Genomic DNA, 22,844 nt, shown 5'->3' on the forward strand with positions numbered 1-22,844 from the left:
CATATCCTCACCATTTATTTTCAGTCTTTTTGATAATAGCCATTTTAACTGAGATGAGGTGATATCTCATGGTTTTGATTTGCATTTCCCTAATGATTAGCGGTGTTGAGTATTTTTTCATATACCTGTTGGCCATTTACATGGTTTTTTTTTTTTGAGAAATGTCTATTCAAATAATTTGCCCATTTTTAAATCAGATTATTTGGTTTTTGGCTACTGAGTTGTTTGAGCTCTTTATATATTCTGGTTATTAATCCCATGTCAGATGAATAGCCTACAAATATTTTCTCTCATTCTGTGGGTTGTCTTTTCACTTTGTTGATTGTTTTCTTTGCTGTGCAGAAACTTTTTAGCTTGATGTAATCGTATTTGTCAATTTTTGCTTTGGTTGCCTGTGCTTTTGAGGCTTTACTCAAGAAATCTTTGCCCAAAACAATGTCCTGAAGCATTTCCCCAAAGTTTTATTTTAGCATAATACTTTCATAGTTCCAGGTCTTACATTTAAGTCTTTGATTTTGAGTTGATTTTTGTACATGGCGAGAGACAGAAGTCTACTTTCATTCTTCTTCATATGGATGTACAGTTTTCCCAGCACCATTTATTGAAGAGACAATGTCCTTTGCCCAATGGATGTTCTCAGCCCCTTTGTCAAAAATCAACTGGCTGTAAATGTGTGGCCCAGCATGCTTCTGTGTTAATCTGTAAAACACATTCTTAAAAGATTTTAGCTGACCAAAAGCGACACAAGAAGAAGAAAATATGATGAAATTGGAACAAAATAAATGCACACAATGGCATGGTTTTTATGGTTTGGGGCAGTAGGGCTGGTGGGGGAAGGAGATGGCCCCACACTTAGCTCCAGGCTCCTGAGGGCCAAGGCAGAACGGGGAACGCTGTTAGTCACAACATCATGGTGTCCATCGGATGAAAAAAACTTGCGAGAAAAGATAGTGTTTCTTGAAAAGAAAACAGTCTTTCTGATACTGGAATGTGCTGAAAACTTCTTTTTGGGTCTTCCCAAAAAGAACACAGCTCCAACTGGTGTGGAAGAGTGGGGGTTTCAGGGAGGACCTCACCAGAGGGGAAACTGAAACTGACGAATGTAATCTAACATTTAACTCTGGAGAGTGTTGTTGAAGGCTTCCGCAGAGTTGGTGGAGAGCAGAGTTGGTGGAGACCGTGGAACTCAAGCAAACATCTGAAATAAACTAAGCTAATGAAACCACGAGGCCATTTTGAACTCAAGGAAAATAAAAAAAGTTGTCCAATAAAAGCGCAATTTTAGTGTTCTACACTGGCTCAACAGTCAGCAAAACGTAGTCAAAATAATGATGATACTAAATGTGGATTTAACCAGATATTTTAAATACATTTTACTTTCGTGTAATCGGTACTGATATAAACATATATACTGAGAGGATAGAGGAAGAGAGATTAAATAATGTCTAGCACTGTTAAATCAAGAGCTAGAAGGTATGTGTATTATTTTAAAATGTGGAGGCAAATAGTAGAAGAACCAGCTAAATAAGAGTTGAAAGTAGTTCTTCTGAGAAGCAGACCACAACGGTGGGGCATGGGGAAGACTGTGTTAAGCTGTGACATTATTAAACTTTCCATTTATATACATATATTACTTTATTTAAAAATGAAATAAACTTGTTAAATACAGGAAAAGTCACCTATGGTCAATGTTCCCTGTGATCACTATTTCTTTAAAGGGGCACAGGTGAGACCACGCTAGGAGAAGAAAACTCTTTCATCAGGAGGGGCATCCCACTGAGTCACTGAAGCCCCCAGTGCTGTGAGGTCCAAGAACGTGCTGCTCTCCCCTGGGAGGCCTGTCTTGATGTCAAGATCCCACCAGCCCCAGACAAAGCAGCACACAACTGACCCATGGCAGGAGGGAGGCACTCAGAGGCGCAGCCAGGAGGGAAGAAGCCTGCTCTCCCCATCCTCTTTCTGGCCCAGTATGCATGGCTGAATTCACCTTAGGATAAACACAGGTATGACTACACTCCAGTATGACTAGAAAAATAACACAGGCGTGACTGCAGTTGGAATCACAGCTTGCGGGCCACACTGGTTACACATCCACCGGGACTCAAGAGGGATCCACTGAGCTGAACACTGCCTGCTCGTGCTCTGTGCCTAAGGCTCCCTGTCTGGCAAGCCCCATGGAAGCTCACAGATCTGTCATTTGTGGAGAGCTGCAGCTCTTGTGTTTAAAAAGGAATGATTTGGCTGGGTGCAGTGACTCACACCAGCACTCTGGGAGGCTGAGGTAGGCGGATCCCTTGAGCCCAGGAGTTTGAGACCAGCCCGGGCCACACAGCAAGACCCCAACTCTACAAAAAAAAATACAAAAATTAGCATGGTGGCACATGCCTGTAATACCAGCTATTCAGGAAGCTGAGGTGGGAGGACCACCTGAGCCTGAGAGGTCAAGGTTGCGATGAGCCGTGATTGCACCACTGCACTCCAGTCTGGGTGACAGAATGAGACCCTGTCTCAATTAAAAAAAATAAAATAAAGAAAAGAAAAAGTGAAAAAACGGAAGGATTTACTAAGCCCAGCTGTTCAATCAGCTCACAGATACTCACTAAGCACTCCACAGCTCTGGCCTGTGCTAGAAGACAAGGACTCAGTCATGAGGAGGGCACAGGTGGTGCCATCTCCTGAGTTACAAGACAGTCGAGGGAGATGTAGACAGGATCTGACCCATGAATGAAGATATAATTCCCAGGTAGCTCACTAAGTTGAGAATAGTTGTACAAAGAGAACACTTAAGGGAAAGGCGGAATTATATGCTCTATGGACCGTGAGGTGGTAGGATGCAAGAAGTTTTGGCAAAACTGAAATGAGCCTAAATCAATACGCCATGATGAACTGAATCTCCCAACAGAAAAAGGGACATTAATGGAAAAACTGGAGAGATCCAAATAAAGCAATTTTAATTAATAGCAATATACCAATGTTGGTTTCCTTTTTAGGCAAATGCAGCATGGCAATGTAAGTTATTAAATTAGTGGAAACTGGGTTATACAGCAACTCTGTATTTGCTCTGCAAATGTGCTTTGCAAATTTTCTATAAATCTAAACTTATTCCAAAATTAAAAGTTGATTTAAAAAATATACAAATATATTGTGCTCCCCCGCCAAGAAATAAGTGATACCACCACGACCACCACCACCCCTGAATTAAGGCTCCAGCTTTGAAGCACAGAGCCCAAAGGGAGGGGCGATGGAGCAGAGGCCAGCAGGCCGAGAGCTCAGGCCATGCAGAGCCTGGGAGGCTAAGCCATGGGATCAGGTCTGCATCCTAAAACCAACAGGAAGCACCTCCACAAATGGGAGCTACAGGCCTTGTCCCCAGTGCCCCTGAACATGGAGAAGGACAGCCTTCATTTCACTGATGAGCGAGTCAGAGCAGAGATGACTCAGCAACACAGCTCTCTCGACCCACATTCTGCCAACCGCCCAGACTGGCAGAAGGCCATGCAATTTGTAATCCCTCTGACCTGGATTTTAGCAGCCCCAGGTCAGCTGTTAAGACTTGGGAGAAGCCGACAGAGCTGTAGGAGGGAGTGGTGGGTTGGGTCTTGATTCCACTGTTCTCACCTAATGCCAGCTAACATCCAGATCCAACCCTGTCCCACCTCTGAGGCTGGGGACGGGGGACAAAGGGGCTCCAGGGGTTCCACAGATAACAGGACCCCAACAGGACTGAGGCTACCTTCCCCCTGGGGCTACATGCATTCATGTAGAAATGAATAGGAAGAGTGGCAGGCAAGGTGGGCTCCAAGGCTTTCTAAGGTTGATGCCATACGCACACCAAGGCTGGGAGTGAAATTTGGGCTAATTAACAGTGACATGTAAGTACAGGAATCTTTAATTTAAACGTAAGCCTCTGCATACCAATAAACCTTGCCAACTTTTTGGGAGTTACAGAACCTCATGTAAACTTGAGAAACAACAGGAATACACCTTTACAGAGAGCTCTGGAGCACGGAACTAAGTATGCCCATCATGCAACCCTTTACTTGACTAACAAACCAGTTGAGTTGGGAATGATCGTCTCCTACTAGCTACCAATAGACATGTTTTGTTTGGCCCATGATAGCTTTGAGATAAAGAAACTTTACACAAAATCTAGATATTCAATTTTTCCTGAAAAATCCAAAGACTCATTAACCATCAGCTAGACCTGAGTGGTGCCTGGTTCCCTCTTCCCCGCCATATCTTTCACACAGCAAGATCTTTTCCATTTTACCACACTTCCCATCACTCCCTAGTAGATGTGGCTGGGCAGGCTGTGCCCTGAGCCTGCAGGCATGTGCATTTACTACCCTGTGCACAGAGAATGTCTCTTCTTCCAACTTCTCTTAAAAGCACACCAGCAGTTTCAGTCACCTGTTTGATTCCCCTCCAAGGGCTTTCTAAAAATTTCCACCAAAATACCCCGACAGCCACCTAAGACCGTGACCGCAGATTCTGGGAATGGGAGGCAGGTGAATGGAGATGTGGTCTTAAATGACACTCAGTGGGATGCAAAATTTGTCTGACATCCCAAGCTTTACCTTAGAAGTTCACGCCCTTGCATTCTATTTCGTTTACACATGTTGTATTCTACTCCATTATATATTTGCATTAAATTTCACACATAATGTTTTCAATTATCAATTAAAAGGTTGCCTTTAACCCCCAACCCCTAAACATGTCAAGTAAAATGGGGGCTCCAGGAAGATCTGCCAGGTTTATGCTGCCTGTGTCTTCCCCTCCTCCCAGCAGACCCCAATGACTAATTTGAGAAGAGCAGTGGCTGACCGCCTGGTCCTCAGAGGCTCCGCCCTCTGCCCCTCCGGACTCGGGGATACCCCGGGGGATCCCTGGCTTACCTTCCTGTTTTCTCACATTAGAGCTGGGATGCATATCTGTCCTCACTTACAGGGACCTGCATTCGTTCCATGAGAGGCAAAGCTACTCCTTACTTAGCATTCAGATGAGTCCCACACTCCCAAACATGCTGTCTGCTCTATGCAGGCCATCCAGCAAGATGCATGGGTGTGGGTGAACACGCCTGCTACTGGGGAGTACAAAGCTCTCTTTCATGCACACTTTCTAAGGGACTCTAACCATCTTTACTTTTACTAGCCTTGTGCTTGGGTTTACCACATTCCTCTTGGCCCAGGACTACATTCAGAAATCTGGGAAATATAGTCCATAATCACCAGCACTCTTGCTCTGTAGATTATAAGTAGACGAAAGATGAAAGAAAACTGGCAAGCAACTGGGTTCTATAACAGGCATTGCAGGATCATGAGATCCCAGCATTTCCCAAACCCAACAAAATCCACCCTGGGGGGATGTTGTTTTATCATCATTTATATCTAGGAAGAGCCCAGGGTGACCACAGTGAGACTGGCCATCTGGAGGCACGGGGCCTGAGGGCAGACCCACCTATGAGGCATGGAAGTTGGGAGATTTAAACACAGGGGAAAAACAGGTAGGGGCGTGTCTAGCAGTGAAAACAACACTCCAAGAGGCTTGCCAACAGACAATGGGCAGTCCAGGCAGCTAGAGACCAGGTACTCCAAATGCGCCTAAATTACCTAAAGGTTCGACAGGGGAGATAGGACCAGTTAATCATAAACCACTCCAAAACACTGAAAGCATCCAAGGGCCATTTACATAGACAGTCATGGGGCAAAAAGATGAACAAGGGGTCTAAGCTTCCCAATAATCTGCCCTTCTCTCAGGGCAAGTGGCCCTCACGATCAGGCATACAGACTCCCTTGAACTAGGCAGACTGATGGCACATGCACGGGCCCATGGCTTAATTTCTCCTAAGACCCCCAAATCCGTAGCCAGTCTGGAGTCTGGACAAAAGCTGAAGAACCAAGTGAACCTGAAACACTGCTTCTGCGACTGAGACTGAACCAGACCTCAATCTTTCACAGAGACCTTTTCCCTTTCTCCACTGTCAAAAAAAGGCTCTGCTCCACATTCAGCCATCTGCTGCAGGTGGCCGGCAGGAGCAGGACACACTGGCGGACACTCTGCAGTGCGACCAGCCGTGTACCTTGGGCCCTGGGCAGTTACCCTGGGAACAGAAACAAGCGGAGGAAGCACCTGCAATGAGCAGAAGCTCATCTAAGCTCATCTACATCCTTTCCCCAAACAGTACGTTCTAGGCACACATCCACTTAGACAAAGAACACCTCCTTCTTTCCATACAAGAGAGTATGCACACATTCTACAAGAGATCCCCCTTTACAAAAATCTCACATATTAAAATGCCATTGCTCCCCTCCTCCATGAGCGGTGCTCTCAAATCTTGCTTGGAAAAAGACTTTTTCCCACCCCCATCCCCATCATGGTCACTGCAGAGACTGCCTACCCGGACCAGGAAAACCAACAGTCCCTGGTCATCCACTTCATGAGCCAGGCCTCTCCTCAGCATGATAGCCTGAGTGCCACCACAGGCCGGGCCAAGGGGACTGCACAGCCGTGCACAGGCGCTACTCCCCAGAACAAGGGAGGGTCCTGGAAATGCCAGCGCCTGGGAAAAGGAACAGCATTTCCTTCACTGCATCAGTCCAAGGACTCCTGGCAGAATCCACTTCCTGGAATAGCAATAAAGCCGCCATAAAAGCCGAAGGTGCGACACCAGCCCAACAGCAGCCACTAGGTGCCGCAGTCTGGCAGGTGCCACCCTCTGGAGAGAAAATCTGCCAACACAGATTGTAAACAAACGTACCTAAGTGTACATAAATAAGGGCGAAGATCCAAACCTTGTAACACAGGCAACACTTATTTTTGCCCTAAGAAACAATGATAGAATATTTAACTCCATGGTCTCGTACACTGCTGGAGGGAATATAAATTTGGTTTGAAAAAAGCTTTCTGAAAGTTTGCAGTCTGGAAATATATATCAGATGTCTTTAAATCTGTCAGTAAGCTCCGGTCTAGGCATTCTATTTCTAGAAATCCATCCTTTAAAAAAGTCCAAAATGTACAAAGATGTTCATTTCAGCATTCTTACAATATATAAAAACGGGAACAAATTAAATACTCAATGTCAGGGGCACTCGCGAGTCCACCATTAGCCCTATCGCGAAGGATTATACAGCCGCTAACAGGCTGATGGGTAATTTTTAACGGAATGGAAATGCTCGTGACAGAAGGATGCACTATTGAGTATATGTTAACGACCAGTGTATGAAAATTGCGCAGAAAATGGCTGGAAGGAAAACATGACCTATTTTCGTGTCTGTATATTTTTCTACTTTCCAATTATTCCACAATTAGAATGCATTAGGCTTATTTTCATAATAAAGCAATTAAATTTTAGAGTCAGAGGCTACACTGGCTTGAAGGAATCAGGGCAGGCTTCCTGGAGAAGGCTGTATCTAAAATGAGAACTAAGAGACACACAGGACAGCCCGAGAAGAGGGAAGGGCATGGTGACAGGCGAAGGGGCACATGACAGCATGAAGACACTGAGTGCTCTGGTTGGGTTGGCAAATTATCTCCCTGTTATGCAGAGAAAACAACAAACCATGAGCCCTACCATCCCGCAGACATAACTTCCCTCATCAGCCATAGCATTCTTCCAGACTTCTCTACAGCAAGGCACTCCAGGCTGTCGCTACCAAGAAGACAAGCAAGGCTTCATGTGAAATAAACCTATTTGCCATGCTTGCTGCTGTTTCATCACTCCTAGAGTCAATGGAAGTTTTCACTGACATCAAAGCAATGTCCTGGAATGTTAGGGCGTGGAGCACCAGAACCCCACGTGCACACCGTACACCTGTGCTGGCAAATACGTCCAGCAGGGCTGAAACAGCACAAAATGCTTTCCCTTCAAAATCGGGTTCTGAGTGCTCCCCAAAGCATGCCTCGAAAGTCAATTCTCCCATCAGACGCAAATAATTAAATGCACAAACACTTGGTGTTTCTTTCCCTCAGGAAATCTGTCAATAAGCTCTGGTCTAGTTTTTCCATTTCTAGAAATGGAAAAGGTCACCTTGTTTTTCCCCCTTCCCTTAGGAAAAAGGGAAAGAAACTCCAAGTGGGGAAGGGTTCAACACGGTCAGGGCTGAGGTGGAGGAAGAGGGCCTCTCTTTCATCTTACACGCAGTGGGAGGGAAAGCAGAAAAAATCTGAAGGAGGAAATTATCAAATACAAAATACATGTTGAAGGCTGGGCGGGGTGGCTCACGCCTGTAATCCCAGCACTTTGGGAGGCCCAGGAGCGTGGATCACTTGAGATCAGCAGTTTGAGACCAGCCGGGCCAACATGGTGAATCCCCGTCTCTACTAAAAATACAAAAATTAGCCACACATGGTGGCGCATGCCTATAGTTGCAGCTACTTGGGGGTCTGAGGCATGAGAATCGCTTGAACCTAGGAGGCAGAGGTTGCAGTGACCCTGCAGCCTGGGCAACAAGAGTGAGACTGTGTCCAAAAAAAAAAAAAAAAAAAAAAAAAAGGTGTTGACAAGGTGTGGAGGTGGAGGGAAAGCCCTGGGAGCCAGGTTAGCCAGGTCAGGGACCAGTGACCCTGTGGAAAAGGAAGCAGTGGGCCTACAAGGGTTGAGGTCTGTGCCTCTGCTAGTTATTAACATGCACTGCATGGGCAAGGCAGTCCACTGAGGGACTGGGTAAGATGGACAAATATAAGCACCTTTTGGATTTAGAAATAGCAATGACAGAAAGAAGGTAATTTAGCTGATTTTAAAACCTCCGTACAAAATGCCTCTCCTCCCAAGAAGCTCAGACTATCGCAAAATGCTGTTCTCTTCATAGGAATGGGGTGGGAAATAGTTTCCCATTTCTGTCTTAAATCAAATGGCTGCCTCTATCAGAAAGCAGATGACACATATTAAGGATGCCAGCTACCCCTTATTAGACACCCATTATTTTTCAGACCTACACACTCACACAGGATGGATCTCCATGCTTACACATGCCCAGCAACACAAGCATGATTTTCCCAGGGTGACAAATGAAGTCTAGGAAAACGCTAAGTGATTGATGCCTCAAAAGAAAGTGCTGGAACCAGGTCTGTGTGGCTCCAAAGTTGCCCTTTTCCTACCATATGACACCGCCTTCCAACAATGGGGGGCACTCAGGTCCTGGAGCCCCAGCCCCTCCGAAGGCAGGAGTCTGGTCGCCAGGTTGCCGGCACACGGAGTTCACGCAGAGAGGCAGCAAGTGGAGCCTGTTCTCCTAGGAAACCTCCCATGGGCTGAGTCACTCAGCCATGCTCAACCCAGAAAGGTGACGGAGCACTATGGCAACACAACAGGATTTCCTCCTAGACTAAACTCCTGAACCCGAAGAAAAAATTATACGTGCTGCTAGCTGCAAATTGCTGACAAATGCTAAGGCGCTGTAGGAAAAGACATGCAACCGAAATCTGTCTGCTGCACCATTCCAATCAAAGTCAGGTGGGAGCTTTTTGTCTGAGTTTCAGTGTTATTGCTACAGCAAAAATGACAAATGCTTGACAATATAATTATGACTGTCAATCTTCCTAAAATAAACTTGGAAACATTCAAAGAGTAACAGTATAGGCAGACAAGTTAATTATATCTCATAATCTCATTTCCAATATATGTGTTGCCCTAGCAGGAGGCATTGTTGGAAAGGAGCTGCAGTTCCTCTGTTATACAGGCTATTTTTATATTTTAGATTCATATTTTAGTTCCAACACCTAACAGGATTTTATTGGGGAGAAATTTTCATTTCTACTTTTGCAGTACTTGGGAGGAGTCACCAGTAAAAACCTCTTTAAGGGGACTGCTTCCCAGAGTGAGGAAAATAAAAAGACTAGCCTGGGGAGCAACGGGCTGTTTTCCCATGTTGCAGACCCAAAGGTCACTAGGCTTGGCTGTAAACTCCAATTCATTTACCATAAAATAAATATTATTTAGATGATAGATCTAGGCCTAACATTTCTGGTTTTCATTTAAATATATCCCTTAACGAAACCAATGATACAAATTAGGGGTCAAAAGTAAATACTTTTCTCAACCCTTCCAGAAGCCCCCACTCCCTGACCTCAATCCCTGCAACCCCACCCCACCCCTACCACACAAACACCACGACTGCTTCCTTCCATCACATCCCAGATAAAGAGCTCCGTCCTCAAGACCTGGTTCCCCTGATATCTCTGTGCTCCCTTCCCCTGCACTCTACACACACACACACACACACACACACACACACACACACACACACACACACTCACCCTCTTCCTAGGCCTAGCAACGAGGCATCATTTCCTTTCAGATTGCAGCCGCACAGCAGGGCTGCTCCCAAGTCTCTCCTGTTCAGCTGCACAGGCTTGCACTGCACAACTCAGGGGACAACATTTACAAAGACCATGCTGAGGAAGGCATGTCCTGGAGGGATCCATCATGGCAACCGTAGCTGCTACCTGCCCTGCTCAAGACTTACGATATTAGACCTCTTTACTTACCATCCTTCATGGTTGCCAAAATGCAAAAGCTTATCCAAAATTGTGATTACTGGTAAAGAAGAGAGACAGAGAGGTATGCCAGTAAGAGTTTTATCTCTTATTGAGAGATAGTCCCTAAAACTTTCCAAGTGGCTGGTCAATCCTAAAATGAAACAAGGTTACACATGTGTGATGCCTGCTGCCTCCTTATCTAATACAGCACCTGGTTCAGGGCAAGGGCTGTGGAGTTGCCAAGGTCAGGAGAGGGCAGGTCTATCTCGTTCCATCCAGGATCTCACAGGGCACTGAAGAGCACTGGGAACTAACTTGAGGGTGGCTGGAATTTTTCCCATAGGCCAATAGGGTACCATTAGTGGATTTCAAGAAGAAAAGTAACAGATCAGACAAAGGTTTCAAAAGCTCACATGGGCAGAATGGAGAAGAAACATCCCAAGGACTGTACACGAGGAAAATGGCCTGGACTGAGTCAGGAATAGAGAAAACGGGGCCTGGGAGAGGCACATTCTAGAAACTTTGAGTAAAAAATTGCAGAACTTGGGTTGCCGAGGATGTAGGGATGGTGAGGTTTCTGGAGCACTGTCCTGGATGGGAGGCAGTGCCATGGACTGACACAGAACCAATGGGCGGAGCTTTGGGGAAAGGGTGAGCTCTGCTTCAGATACACTGTCTGAGGCCTCTGGGCCACCCTGGAGGAGGTCTCTGTTAGACAACTGGGTCGATAGGGGCTGGAGCTCAGCAGGGAATTCTTGGACCAGAAATATAGATTTTGGAGACATTCACATAAACAACTGTCATTGAAGATTTAGATGTAGATGAGATTCCCCAGGATTTTTCGCAGAATGAGGAGAGGAGGAAGACCTCACCCAAGCGCAGGAGACATCAGCATCTGAGGCTGAGATGAGGGTCTGGGAATGGAGAAGGAAAGCTTCCAAGGTGGCTGCTTTTTGCCGCATCTCCCGAAGGAGAAAATCAGGTGAAAGGTGCTGTTTACAAATTAAACCACTACAATGAATCATGCCTCTAGGCCACAAGAAAAATCCATCAGAAACTTAAGTTACATAGAGAAATATACTTTTTAAAAAGGAACCAGTCTTAAAATAAATTTCCAATCTGCCTGTAGAACTTGGAGAAGTAGTGGAGGGAAAAGGAGAGATGGAAGCAAAGCATAGGACAGGGACCAAAGCCTGAAGGGGGAAGCGACAGGAGAGGGAGGGTGCTCTGCATGGACAGCTTGCCCTCCCGACCACCCCCCAGCTCAATCGCTGGCCCCAGGGAAGCAGACTGCATGACAATCGCTCACTTTCAGCACTACCATTTCCGCACATGTGAAAGCTGGAAAGAACAACTACTGCCTCTTTTCACCGCACAGATGACCTTTGCTAAATCCCTTAACTTCTCAACCTCACTTTGTGAATCTGTAAAATGAGCGGCAACATGTAGCTTCCAGGGCTACCATGAGGGACACAGTGGGGGTAACCACTAGGACACTGCCCAGCACCTTTTAGGTGCCAGATAAGATCCAGCTCTTAGTGGTCATGCCATTTGGGTCCAGGGTATTGTTCTAAGCAGCCCTTCTCCTTTTCCTAAGTATCAAGAGCTCCTCAGGCATGGGCTCCTCTTCATTTCGCTAGTGCATACCTCATTATTATTGAAAACGGTAGTAGTCATCAATTACCACTGACACAGCAGGAGGCTCTGCTGGGAACATAATTCTTTATGAGAATTTTGAAACAATAAACTAAATTTTGCTCACATAGTTCCTGCTTACAAAAACCTTTCGGGGACTGCAGTATCATAGAGACTGCTTATGCTGGACTCCCTTCAGTGAGCTCTGCTGATGAACACAGCACAAAGCAAATAAATATAAACGAATGAATAACCCCAATAGCCATCAGCAAAACTCACTTGTTTTCTTTTCCATGTGTTCTAAGATGTTTCCCCGTAGATTTCGCCTCTCTAATAACCTGTATATGATAATGAGAACATGGGTATGTGCTGGAAGCCCCTCTGCTGCTTACCTATGAGGGGCCCCAAGCACTCAATGTATGAAACAGAAAGCTGCTGCACTCACCTAGTGTCCCTAAGGGCAGCCTCTGCTCTCTCCCAGCCACCTGCTGAGCTTCCTCTGAGACCTTCTGAGCCCAGCCTGCCACAAAGGACTGGGTGAGTGCAGGCTACCTAGCAAGGCAGGAGGAGGTGGGAGAGACAGGGGTTCAGCCCAGCAGGACAATGACCCTGACTCATTCCACCAGGTCTCAAGGCCACAGTGAGCCTTGCCAGTTCCTTTCTAAGCCATCCTCCAGTTCGCAAACCTGTTCATCCACTTCTGGATTCCATGAGCCAAAATTCTCATCTTCCAAATTTCCACATTCTATTTATAATAAAGACACATTACTTAGGATAACATGATGGAGTTTCTCAGTCTCTTAATAACCAAAATGCATAACGTGAACCAGCAACAGGAACTCCCTCCACGACAGGCCATGATGGAACCTCAAAGAGAAAAATGCTATGATTATATAAACTTCACACATTGGGGCTTTAAGAACATACTCTGAAGTCTGTGAAAACAAATAAACCTAAAAGCTGTTGGAACCCCCCCCCAAAACACTTCAAGCTTTGAGAGAAATGTGACTGTGATCTGAGTCACATATGGTTACAATTTATGTTTCTCAGATTATAGATAACTCATTTTCTTCTTTTTCTTGCTCTGTACATTGACTAAAGGGAAACCATGTCAGGGTCAAAAGCCTCCCGCCCTCTGAATTAATGACCCTTGTTGTAGATTAACTCCCCCTTCATTGCCCTGCTTCGCTTAGACCAGGTGAAAGAAAACCCAGGACTATTACACCCTCTGTTAAGAAAATGTTAAATATCCCCTCCCCAAAAAGAAACATCACCTAGAGCCAATCAAATTGCTATAACATACACACCAACCTTGTATGAATAATGTTGTAATCCTGCTAAAAACTCCACTGTCTCAGCCCACATAAATGAAGCCTTCACTTCCTACTTCGGAAAACTGACTCCATTTCTTCGGAGTTGGTGTTTCTGGGTGGCCTACCTCACACTTTGTACTTATTTAAATGCTCTTTAAATCATATTCTGACCCCTTTCATTATTTTAGGTTGGCAAGTCAATCTGCTGAGGTTTGAATGCTAGGTCCGACTGCAGAAAATCTTGAGAAAGCCCCAGTCTCCTGAGCCACAGTCCACTCATCTGCAAAATGGACAGGAGGGCAGCACGGAGCCTGGGGCAGGGGTGGGAAGGCTGCACAGATGAAACACCATGTGCTTACTTAAAACAATGCTGCCACACAACAAGCACCTGCTAAGTGCTGGTTATCACATTGCCACCATCATCTGGAGAAATAAAATAAGGTTGGAAAGTTTTAAAAAAATACTCAAACATAAGATGTTTCAAAAAAAAAAAAAGGACTTAAAAAAACCCCATATGCTAGCAAGAAGGCTCTTATGTCTGTTTATATTTCAATCGTTGGCTTGACTTCCAATCTGAAAATTCCGATTCTTCAGGACCCATCTAACACCAACCCCACCCAAAATGAGTGCCCCATTAGAAAATACTGGAATATTGTGGGGATGGGAAAAGGAAGGGGCCAAGTAACTCTGCCCAGCCACAACAGAACAAAACACATACATAAGAAAGACATGCTGGATGCTGACTGATTTGCATTTTGTAAGGAGCTGCTGCAACCTACACACAACCACAAGGGCAGGACCGTCCGCAGAGAATGGCAGAATGGAAGGTGGAGCAAATGAGAGGGTGTGTAGAGCCTCTGAACAACTCAGGCCCGGGGCCTCCAACAGGAGGACTCCTAACCATGCCAGATAATGAACTTCCTCCAAGTCTGCACTACTTGAATTGGGTTTCCTATCACTGAGGGCCAAAGACGTTCTAATCAATATGCGGTTTAGTAAGTACTCTGTGGGGCATTGCAAGTACAGACAGACAAGAAAACCCTTCAACAGAGGGTGGAATGGCGTTGCGTGGGGTTGGGAGGAGGGGAAATTAGGTATTTGTCAAAAAGTACAAAGTTTCAGTTATGCAAATCAGTGAGTCCTAGAGGGCTGCTGTGCCACAGAGGTCCTGCAGTTAACACTACTCTACTGTGTACTTAGAAATCTGCTAAGGGGTAGACCTTATGACACACAATAATAATAATAATAATAACCAGACAGCAGGAGGAAACTTTTAGAGGCTTATGGCATAAATTGTGGAGGTGGTTTCATAGGTGCATGCTTATCTCCAAACTCATCAAGCTGTATACATTAATTATGTTCAGCTTGTTGTATGTCAAAAAAAATTAAATACAAAAGAATGAATTTTAAGAAAAAGAATATCCTTCATATTTTTAATATGTTCCTTAAACTTCCATCAGACAACTAAATGAAAACTCATACAAATAATGTGTTTCTCACCTGCTAACCTGTTCAGGTGTGCACACCTGCAGGGGTGACAGATGATGCTTTAATCGGGGAGAGGACCCTGCCACCCCAGAGACACCCTGCTAATGCCAATTCCAATCATCTCTGCTCAGCCTCCAGAGAGCCCAGGCATCCCTGTCCAGAGGCTACTGTGCTGTGTCAGGTGCTGTAAAGTCTCTTCACTTCCCAGATCCACCCACCCATCCATCCATGTCCAACCCCAGGCTCCTTGCAGACAAAGACCCAAAAGACAGAGTAAAAACTTCAGACTACATACAGCCTCAAACACAGCATGGCTACAGGGTGAACACCAAACCCTGGCATCATTATCATTAGTAAAGCTGACTGACAAAGAGCTATTTTAGTGTTCTGAGCCCTCTTCAGCAATAATAACGCAGAGTTGCTAAAAACCAAAGAAGAAAGCAAAGGAAAGGTCAGTGTTCAAGGTTAGCGACAAGATAGCCTCACTGAAAAGTTTAATACCATCCTGCATTTCCTTCTGAAGACCTAATTATATTAATTTTATTTGTGCCCAAAGCTTTGCAAACAACTTGAGCTATATATAAGTCACTAAGTATCCAGTGGATAGTAACGGTTTTTTAGTCTGCTCCCTCATCATCAGAGGGAGCCTCTGATGGCTTCAATGGGAGCCTGAGCCATCCATCAAAACAAGAACCATACACACAACTGAATTCAGATAAACAGGGTGGAGTTTAAAAAGGTACTGATTCTAGTGGTGACAATCATCACTAAATAAATCCACTTCCACTCTTGGCAGCTTCTCTGAATACATCACTAGGTCATGCTGACACTCAGAAAGGGACCAGAGACTCCTAATTAGGATGCCTACCCTTCCCATCTTATGGAGGAAGGTGAGCACTGCCCATTAGCAAGCCCCTGAGAGCAGCCGCTGACCGTGCCATTGGGCCGACCAACAGGCCACCACAGTGGAAGGACTCTAATGCCTGGCTCAGCTGACCAGGGCCCAGATGTCGTGATTTTGAAGTCCAGCTCCTTTTCTGCCAGGAAGTGATAAAAGCATCAATTGTATCAAGTAACCTGTGATCTCAATTTGTCCAAGGCTCTCATTATGAGAGAAAGCCTTCTCCCTATCTGCGATTTAACTTCTCATGCAATTCAGAAAGTCAGAGATGAATCTCAGCTTCCACTGGGGTGACTAGCTATTAATAAAACCAATACATATTTTTCCTGAGTCATTCCACCAAGAACTCAAAGCATAAAACAGACCTACAACCTATGTTAATGACTCCATCCCAACCCAGGGCACATGCAGTGGAACCGGCAAGTTCTCATTCACTCCACTGCCCATGTCAGCCCCACAGAAGAACCTCAGAACGTGGCAATGGAGTATAAAAACCTTTACTGGCCAGGCGCAGTGTCTCATGCCTGTAATCCCAGCACCGCACGAGGCCGTGGCAGGCGATCACCTGAGGTCAGGAGTTCCAGACCAGCCTGGCCAACATGGTGAAACCCCATCTCCACTAAAAATACAAAAATTAGCTGGGGATGGTGGCGCACGCCTGTAGTCCCCGCTACTTGGGAGGCTGAGGCGGGAGAATCACTTGAACCTGGGAGGCAGAGGTTGTAGTGAGCCAAGATCATGCCACTGCACTCCGGCCTGGGGAAAAGAGTGAGGCTCTGTCTCAAACAACAAACGAAAACAAAAAAAACCTTTACAACAGTGATTTCACTAAAATATCCATTTTAAGCAACATTTTTTTTCAACCTTGTGGCAAGCAAAGTAATGCCACCTCCTGCCCACAAAGATGTCATCGTCCTAATCCACAGAACTGGGAATGTCACCTTAGGTGGCAAAAGGGGCTTTGCAGACGTGATTAAGTTAAGGATCTTACAATGAGGAGATTATGCTGGGTAATTCAGGTGGGCCCAATGTAATCTCAAGGGTCTTTACAGTGACAGAGAGAGAGAAGCATGAGAGAAATTAGAAGACACAGAATCGCTGGCTTTGAAGGGGAGGAAGGGACCACCAGCCAAGAAACACAGGCAGTCCCTAGATGCTGGGACAGGCCAGGAAATGAATCCTCCCTGGAGCCTCCAGAAGAAACATGGTCCTGCTGACATTCTTGAATTGAGCCCACTGAGAGCCATTTAGGACTTCTGACCTCCAGAGAGGGAAGATAATAAATCTGGATCGGTTTAAGCCACCAAGTTTGTAGTCACTTGTTATAGCAACAACAGGTAATGAACACAGAGGTCACAGCAAGTTCTTCTCTAGTAGGCCAGTAGCCTCACTCTCCCTTCTCTGCACCTGTCCCATACCCTCACCTCACTCCCATGTCAACCTCTACTTTTTTACCAAATGCCTTGTTCATTTTCCAATCCATCAACCATCTTCTAATTTTACACACTCAAGAAATGACCCTAACATAGCCATCATAACAATAATTCCCCAAAATCCTCTCACTCATGATGCACTGCCATCCCGCGTCAATCCCCAGTCTGGCAGCCACCCTTCTACCTCCCTGCTTCCATGCTGCTTAGGGGGCCAGTCAGGGCAGCTGGCTGTATCCAAGACTGCCCGAAATGCTCACTCTGCACCCCGACCATGGATGCTCTGAGATGCACATGCACAGCTTCCCAGGACCCTCACCACAACCGCTGTGCGACCTTCACCATGACCTGGAGGCCCAGGTCCTTCCCAGCTTATCTCTGTGGCTTACTTCAACGCAAAGTTCCTGACATCCCACCCAGGTCACCAACCTTTCCCCACTGAACTTCAACTCTATGTGCACCTTCCCTCTTGATGACCTCCTTCCTCATCTCCTTCCTCACATCCCCACTCCCCTTCCAAAGCCTAACCTCTACACCCAAGCTCCCAAGCCCATCCCCCTCACTGTGCCAAACCCTTCTGGAACAAACAGGTCCTCTAGGAGCTTAAGGTCTAAAGAATTTACAGACCAGGCCGGGCACGGTGACTCATACCTGTAGTCCCAGCTCTCTGGGAGGCCAAGGCGGGCAGATCACAAGGTTAGGAGTTCAAGACCAGCCTAGCCAATATGGTGAAACCCCGTCTCTACTAAAAATACAAAAATTAAGTGGGCGTGCTGGTGGGCACCTTATGTCCAGCTACTCAGGAGGCCAAGGCAGGAGAGGGGGAGGCGGAGGTTGCAGTGAGCCAAGATCATGCCACTGCACTCCAGCCTGGGTGACAGAGCAAAACTCTGTCTGGAAAAAAAAAAAAAAAAAAAGAAGAAGAATTCACAGACTGCTCCCCTCTTCCAAAAAAAAAAAAAAACAAACAAGCAATTACAGTATCTGAGCTCAGAGCACGTGGGAGTAGCTTGCCTAGGGAGTAGCTTGCCCAAGTCGGGGACTTAACTCATACCCAAGTGGACAATGAGAGTAGCCTTCCATGACACCACCTGAGGGTCTTCAAGTATGGTGGGAGTTGAAACGGCAGTCAAAGGAATGGGAAAACAGGAAGTGAAAGTATGGTGCCTTCAGGACCCACAGTAGTCGGTTCAGTCTGCTGTACTGGATGAAGACTTCTGATCCTCATCTATGCATCAGAAGCAATGTGCATCTGTTAAAAAATAAAGATGACTAGGCTCCAGGTGCAGGTAATTGTTCGAAACTCCCTACCTCATTCTAATGTACAGCCAACGCTGAGAATGGCAAGGAGGTCTCTGTAGATACTGAAAGCTTTCCAAGGGCGCTCCTCCATACTGCTAAAGGACTCGAATTCCAAACCTTCAACCTCCATGGGTCTGCTTTCCTAAAGCTGACTGCCTGAGACACAGGCCCTGGTCCGGATGCTGGTCAAGTGACAGTGCTAATTCCCCGTTTACAGTCACCCTTCTCTCCCTTTACAAAGAAAGGCACACCTCCCTCCCATTTCTAGTCTTACTGGGATGTGCTGGTCCAGAACTAAAAAACTCTCTCAAGTACCAATCTAAGGCCACTGAAAATACTGGTAGTGACACTGTTAAAGAGAAATTGTTCTGACACTTGTCAAAAATGGTAAGGCTTTATTCAAGACTATTGCAATAGGGGTCAATCTATCACAACAGCAAGACAGACTGACCTCAACTCCAAATACAACCAAAATCAGTGTGAATTCACAGCCAAGGAGCAGAGTGAGGGGGTCAACGGATACAAAATTGCTAAGAGGAGAGGCATGATGGGTAGAAGTAAGGAGGAATTCTTGCTGAAGACAGCCTAAGGTGATCAGATATTAAGCGTGAGGGGATGACTTGGCAGGACTCTTGCTGAAACTGAGCTCCACTGAGGACAGACACAGAGGGCAAGGTGGAGGCCTAGTGAGAAGAGGGCTCAGAGGATCCCAACCAAAGTTTGGTCAAGGGGAGAGTTTTTGTCAACGCACGCCTTGCATCTCAACTGGTTTCAAATTCTTTGCTTTCAATTAAATTGAAAGATGACCTAATTGTAGATTACTATGCGGTCTGGGCACATCACTCGGAAGTTCAACATGAAACTTTTTCCATTTCCATCAGTTATACATGCCCTAACTTGAAATATCCTCGTCCATCTCACTCAGAAATTTATTTCCAGTAAATTTTACTGTTTATGTTTAATAATATTCAATTGGTAATACATGTATAGTGTCAATCAAATGTGCAATAAAAATGATAAATCAATTAGTCTTTTTAAATTTTTTGGAGGTATATCTGAGGAAATGTTTTAAAAATTAATTTCGATACAGATTTTGTTACAAAAAACGACAGATCAAAACTAGACTTTCAAGCATAAATATATATTATTAGAAGAAAATTCTATAAAGTAGAAATTCAAAAAAGGAATGCTATATTTGCAACCATTAGAGAAGATTATTTGCGTTTTTTAAAAAAATCAGTATCAAATTGCTAATGGTATTTAGATTCCACTGAATACATTAAAAGAGTGATATTATAGTTGAATTTTTAACAATGTTTACAATACATGAGAAATCAAATCTATTGTAACCATTTAAAATCTATGATAAACAAGATCACACAGGTTGAGTATCCTTTACCTGAGATGCTTGGGACCAGAAGTGTTTTTGGATTTTGCATCTCTTTGGATTTTGGAACATTTGCATATACACAGTGAAGTATCTTGGGGATGGGACCCAAGTCTAAAGATGAAATTCATTTATGTTCATATATATCTTACACATATAGCCTGAAGGTAATTTTATACAATATTTTTAATAATTGTGTGCACAAAACAATGTTTTGGCTGTGATCTGTCACACAAGGTCAGGTGTGAAATTTTCCACCTGTAACATCACACTGGCACTCAAAAAGTTTCAGATTTTGCAACACTTAGGATTTTTGATTTTCAGATTAGGGTTGCTTAACCTGTATGTTCCACTTAAAATTATGTGAGAGGGTATATAGCTTTTGAAAATTCCCTAAAAGAGTATAAGAGCCAAAATTTTGACAACCTTTGAGCTAGAGAAAGCTGCTCAATTTGGGAGGAAAGAAATGAGAAGGAAAGAAAGGAGAATTCCTGAAGAAATTCTAAGGAGGAAAAACAGTGTTTGGAATTTATCTTGAGGGCAGCAGAGAAGAACAGAGGTTGCAGAGATTTAATCTAAGGGAACCCCACGTTGTTTTACACAGCTGCCCTTAGGCTATAGGAACCTGGCTTCACAGCTTCACTCACCGCAGGCCTGGCTGCTTTTCTCTCCAACTAAAGGGAAGGAGGGGGAACTAGGAACTAGGAGCTTCTTCAATAATAATCTCATCAACACACTCTTTCTCTCTGTCTCTGTCTCTCTCTCTCTCTCTCTCTCTCGCTCGCTTGCTCTCTCTCACTCTCCTCTTCTCCCCACTCCCCATAAGGGTTTAGGATCTGTCCCCACCCTCTCCATAATGCCATGTTTTGGCCCTTGATGACACTCAGATCACAAAACACCAAGAGAATGAGGCCAACTAAAGAGCTAAAGAGTTTCACTCATCTTTCCTCTCAGTATTAAAAGTCAAGCTGTCACCTGAGTAGCTGCTCAACCATCCTAGCAAAAGAGATGGCTATGGACCCTTTTTTTGTCTTACCTAGGGCAGAAATTAAGAGCCAACTATGATCACAATCACAATCTTGCTTTCCCTTGCTATGGACGCTTATGACAAAGTTTCTTCTTAATCTAGTCACAGATAATAACAAGCAAGCCCACTTTTTAATCGACAGGATAAGGAAACCCTCCCTCCTGTCCGCAGGTGTGCAGCCACCTGGGCACAGGAAACTTGCTTGGGAATGACTGACAATATAAATACTCTGTTAATCCACCCTGGGCCACAAGTTCCAGACCAAGTAGGGAATCTTCCAAAGGGCCTCCAGCAACACTGAGGGATTTCTCTTTACAGGTGTATGTCAGTGGGAGCTTAGGTTTACTCAAAGACTCCCAGGCAACTCCGAAGGAGTTGAGATTCTGTAATACATGGTCATGGCACCATCCAAATGTGACTCCTAACGACCACCAGATATGCCCTATGCTTGAAGCAAGCAATTGATCGATTTCAAACCTAATTTACCGGATAATATCTCTTTGTTCTGGTCTGAGGACATTGTTCTCTTGTTGACAGTTTTGAAGTATATAGCTGTACTTCCTGAAATTTTATATATATATGTATTAGTCACTGCCTCCCTGTCTTCATTGACCATTTGATTCTTTAACCCTGACAAGGGAAGGTCACTGTTTGCCAATTATCGAATCCGATGGCCTTCTGCAAGGCCTCTTCTCTACTGTTCTACGGTATCTGAATGCAGATCACCTTCGCGTTTAGACACCCTCCTCCCGCATTCTAGACTCTCATTTGTTGGATCTCTTTTCACCAAGGACAGATCATCAAACACTTCAAAACCAGCATTTAAAATTAAACTCTGACTTTTTAAAATTAAGGATATCCTTACTCTCCAAGTCAAAATCTCAGTCATCCAACTCCACCCAGAATCTCTGTAATTGACTCTGCTCTATTCAACATGTTTGTTAATCAGTTGGATAAAACCAACAGGAGTATAATCAAATCGGTCCATGGTACAAAACAATATGGGACACTGGATTTTAAAAAATAGTGTTCAGACATATGTTGATAGGCTTAAGTAGATGAGATGAATGATTAATGTGAAATTGGAAACAATGTAAAGTCCTCAATTTAGGTTTTTAAAAAATAATAAACAGCTCTACAACTATTGTGAGGTGTGGTGGATTAGCAGCAGCACATGTTAAAAAGATTTCGGTCTCACTGCAAACTCAGGGTGAATCTCCTGGCTGCAGGGGTGGAGGTGGGAGGACGCACTAGTATAAACTAGTATAATTTTATCTGCTTAATGACAAGGGCCAAAGGTTTTGATGCTGCCAGTCAGACCACACCCACAGAACAGAGCTTCCTATTGTTCAATAAGTGCCAGTGGGGAGGACCTGGAGGGGAACCAAAGGTTTCAGCACAAACCACAAGAAACACTGGATTCACCCCAGCCCACTTAACACTGGCAGATCCAAAACCAATCTCCGATCCCAAGATCACAGGAGAGTGCAACCCAAATACCACACACAGACAGCAAACAGGCCCTGCAGACCTCACAAAGGTGCAGCAGCTCATGAAGCCAATGAAAGTGACAAAAGATCTAGCAGTCAAGCCATTTAATATGAACCAAAAGGTGGCCAAAGGAGAATGATATGAATAAAAAGGACAAAGAGAAGCTGGAGGTGGGGGTGGTGGGAGTTTCCAGACCAGCGCAACTAATTCTGGGGAAAAAACTTTCACTATGATCATGCCACTGAAGTCCAACATCAAGTGAAGACTGTCTTATGTGCATTATAGAATTTTGTCAGGAAAATTACACTGTCCCCCCAAAATGGACTCATCATTCTAAAATGAGTACTCAGAGCCTGACCAATATGGTGAAACCCCGTCTCTACTAAAGAAAAAA

At 44.8% G+C, this 22,844-nt stretch overlaps 1 protein-coding gene across 11 annotated transcripts in view, besides 6 other annotated features; it reads right to left on the reverse strand.

Annotated features, from left to right (window-relative positions):
* VOPP1 (VOPP1 WW domain binding protein) overlaps positions 1-22,844 on the reverse strand; it is a 137,539-nt gene that overhangs the window by 108,593 nt on the left and 6,102 nt on the right. For 2 of the 11 annotated variants that reach the window (XM_011515546.3, NM_001284282.2), the window contains exon 1: positions 9,097-9,210. The exons of 7 other annotated variants lie outside the window; for them this stretch is intronic. In XM_011515546.3, the coding sequence (XP_011513848.1) occupies positions 9,097-9,099 (3 nt within the window). In that variant the 5' untranslated portion in view covers positions 9,100-9,210. Of the gene's footprint in view, positions 1-9,096; positions 9,211-10,254; positions 10,332-18,423; positions 18,496-22,844 lie in introns of those variants that run through there. 2 more of the 11 variants (NM_001321244.2, NM_001321248.2) reach the window with 2 other exon arrangements.
* Positions 2,374-2,533: an enhancer, noted in NCBI's record as "active region_26034". NCBI's record gives its function as "activates an Ori minimal core promoter by ATAC-STARR-seq in GM12878 lymphoblastoid cells {active_cell/tissue: GM12878}" and the evidence as "EXISTENCE:reporter gene assay evidence [ECO:0000049][PMID:35858748]".
* Positions 4,874-4,923: an enhancer, noted in NCBI's record as "active region_26035". NCBI's record gives its function as "activates an Ori minimal core promoter by ATAC-STARR-seq in GM12878 lymphoblastoid cells {active_cell/tissue: GM12878}" and the evidence as "EXISTENCE:reporter gene assay evidence [ECO:0000049][PMID:35858748]".
* Positions 11,275-12,221: an enhancer, noted in NCBI's record as "OCT4-NANOG-H3K27ac-H3K4me1 hESC enhancer chr7:55622524-55623470 (GRCh37/hg19 assembly coordinates)". NCBI's record gives its function as "activates a minimal SCP1, AML or CMV promoter by ChIP-STARR-seq in naive and primed H9 embryonic stem cells {active_cell/tissue: H9 hESC(naive and primed)}" and the evidence as "EXISTENCE:reporter gene assay evidence [ECO:0000049][PMID:30033119]".
* Positions 18,226-18,275: an enhancer, noted in NCBI's record as "active region_26036". NCBI's record gives its function as "activates an Ori minimal core promoter by ATAC-STARR-seq in GM12878 lymphoblastoid cells {active_cell/tissue: GM12878}" and the evidence as "EXISTENCE:reporter gene assay evidence [ECO:0000049][PMID:35858748]".
* Positions 18,356-18,415: an enhancer, noted in NCBI's record as "active region_26037". NCBI's record gives its function as "activates an Ori minimal core promoter by ATAC-STARR-seq in GM12878 lymphoblastoid cells {active_cell/tissue: GM12878}" and the evidence as "EXISTENCE:reporter gene assay evidence [ECO:0000049][PMID:35858748]".
* Positions 18,446-18,495: an enhancer, noted in NCBI's record as "active region_26038". NCBI's record gives its function as "activates an Ori minimal core promoter by ATAC-STARR-seq in GM12878 lymphoblastoid cells {active_cell/tissue: GM12878}" and the evidence as "EXISTENCE:reporter gene assay evidence [ECO:0000049][PMID:35858748]".

This window comes from Homo sapiens, chromosome 7, assembly GCF_000001405.40.
Source record: "Homo sapiens chromosome 7, GRCh38.p14 Primary Assembly".
Lineage (NCBI taxonomy): Eukaryota > Metazoa > Chordata > Mammalia > Primates > Hominidae > Homo > Homo sapiens.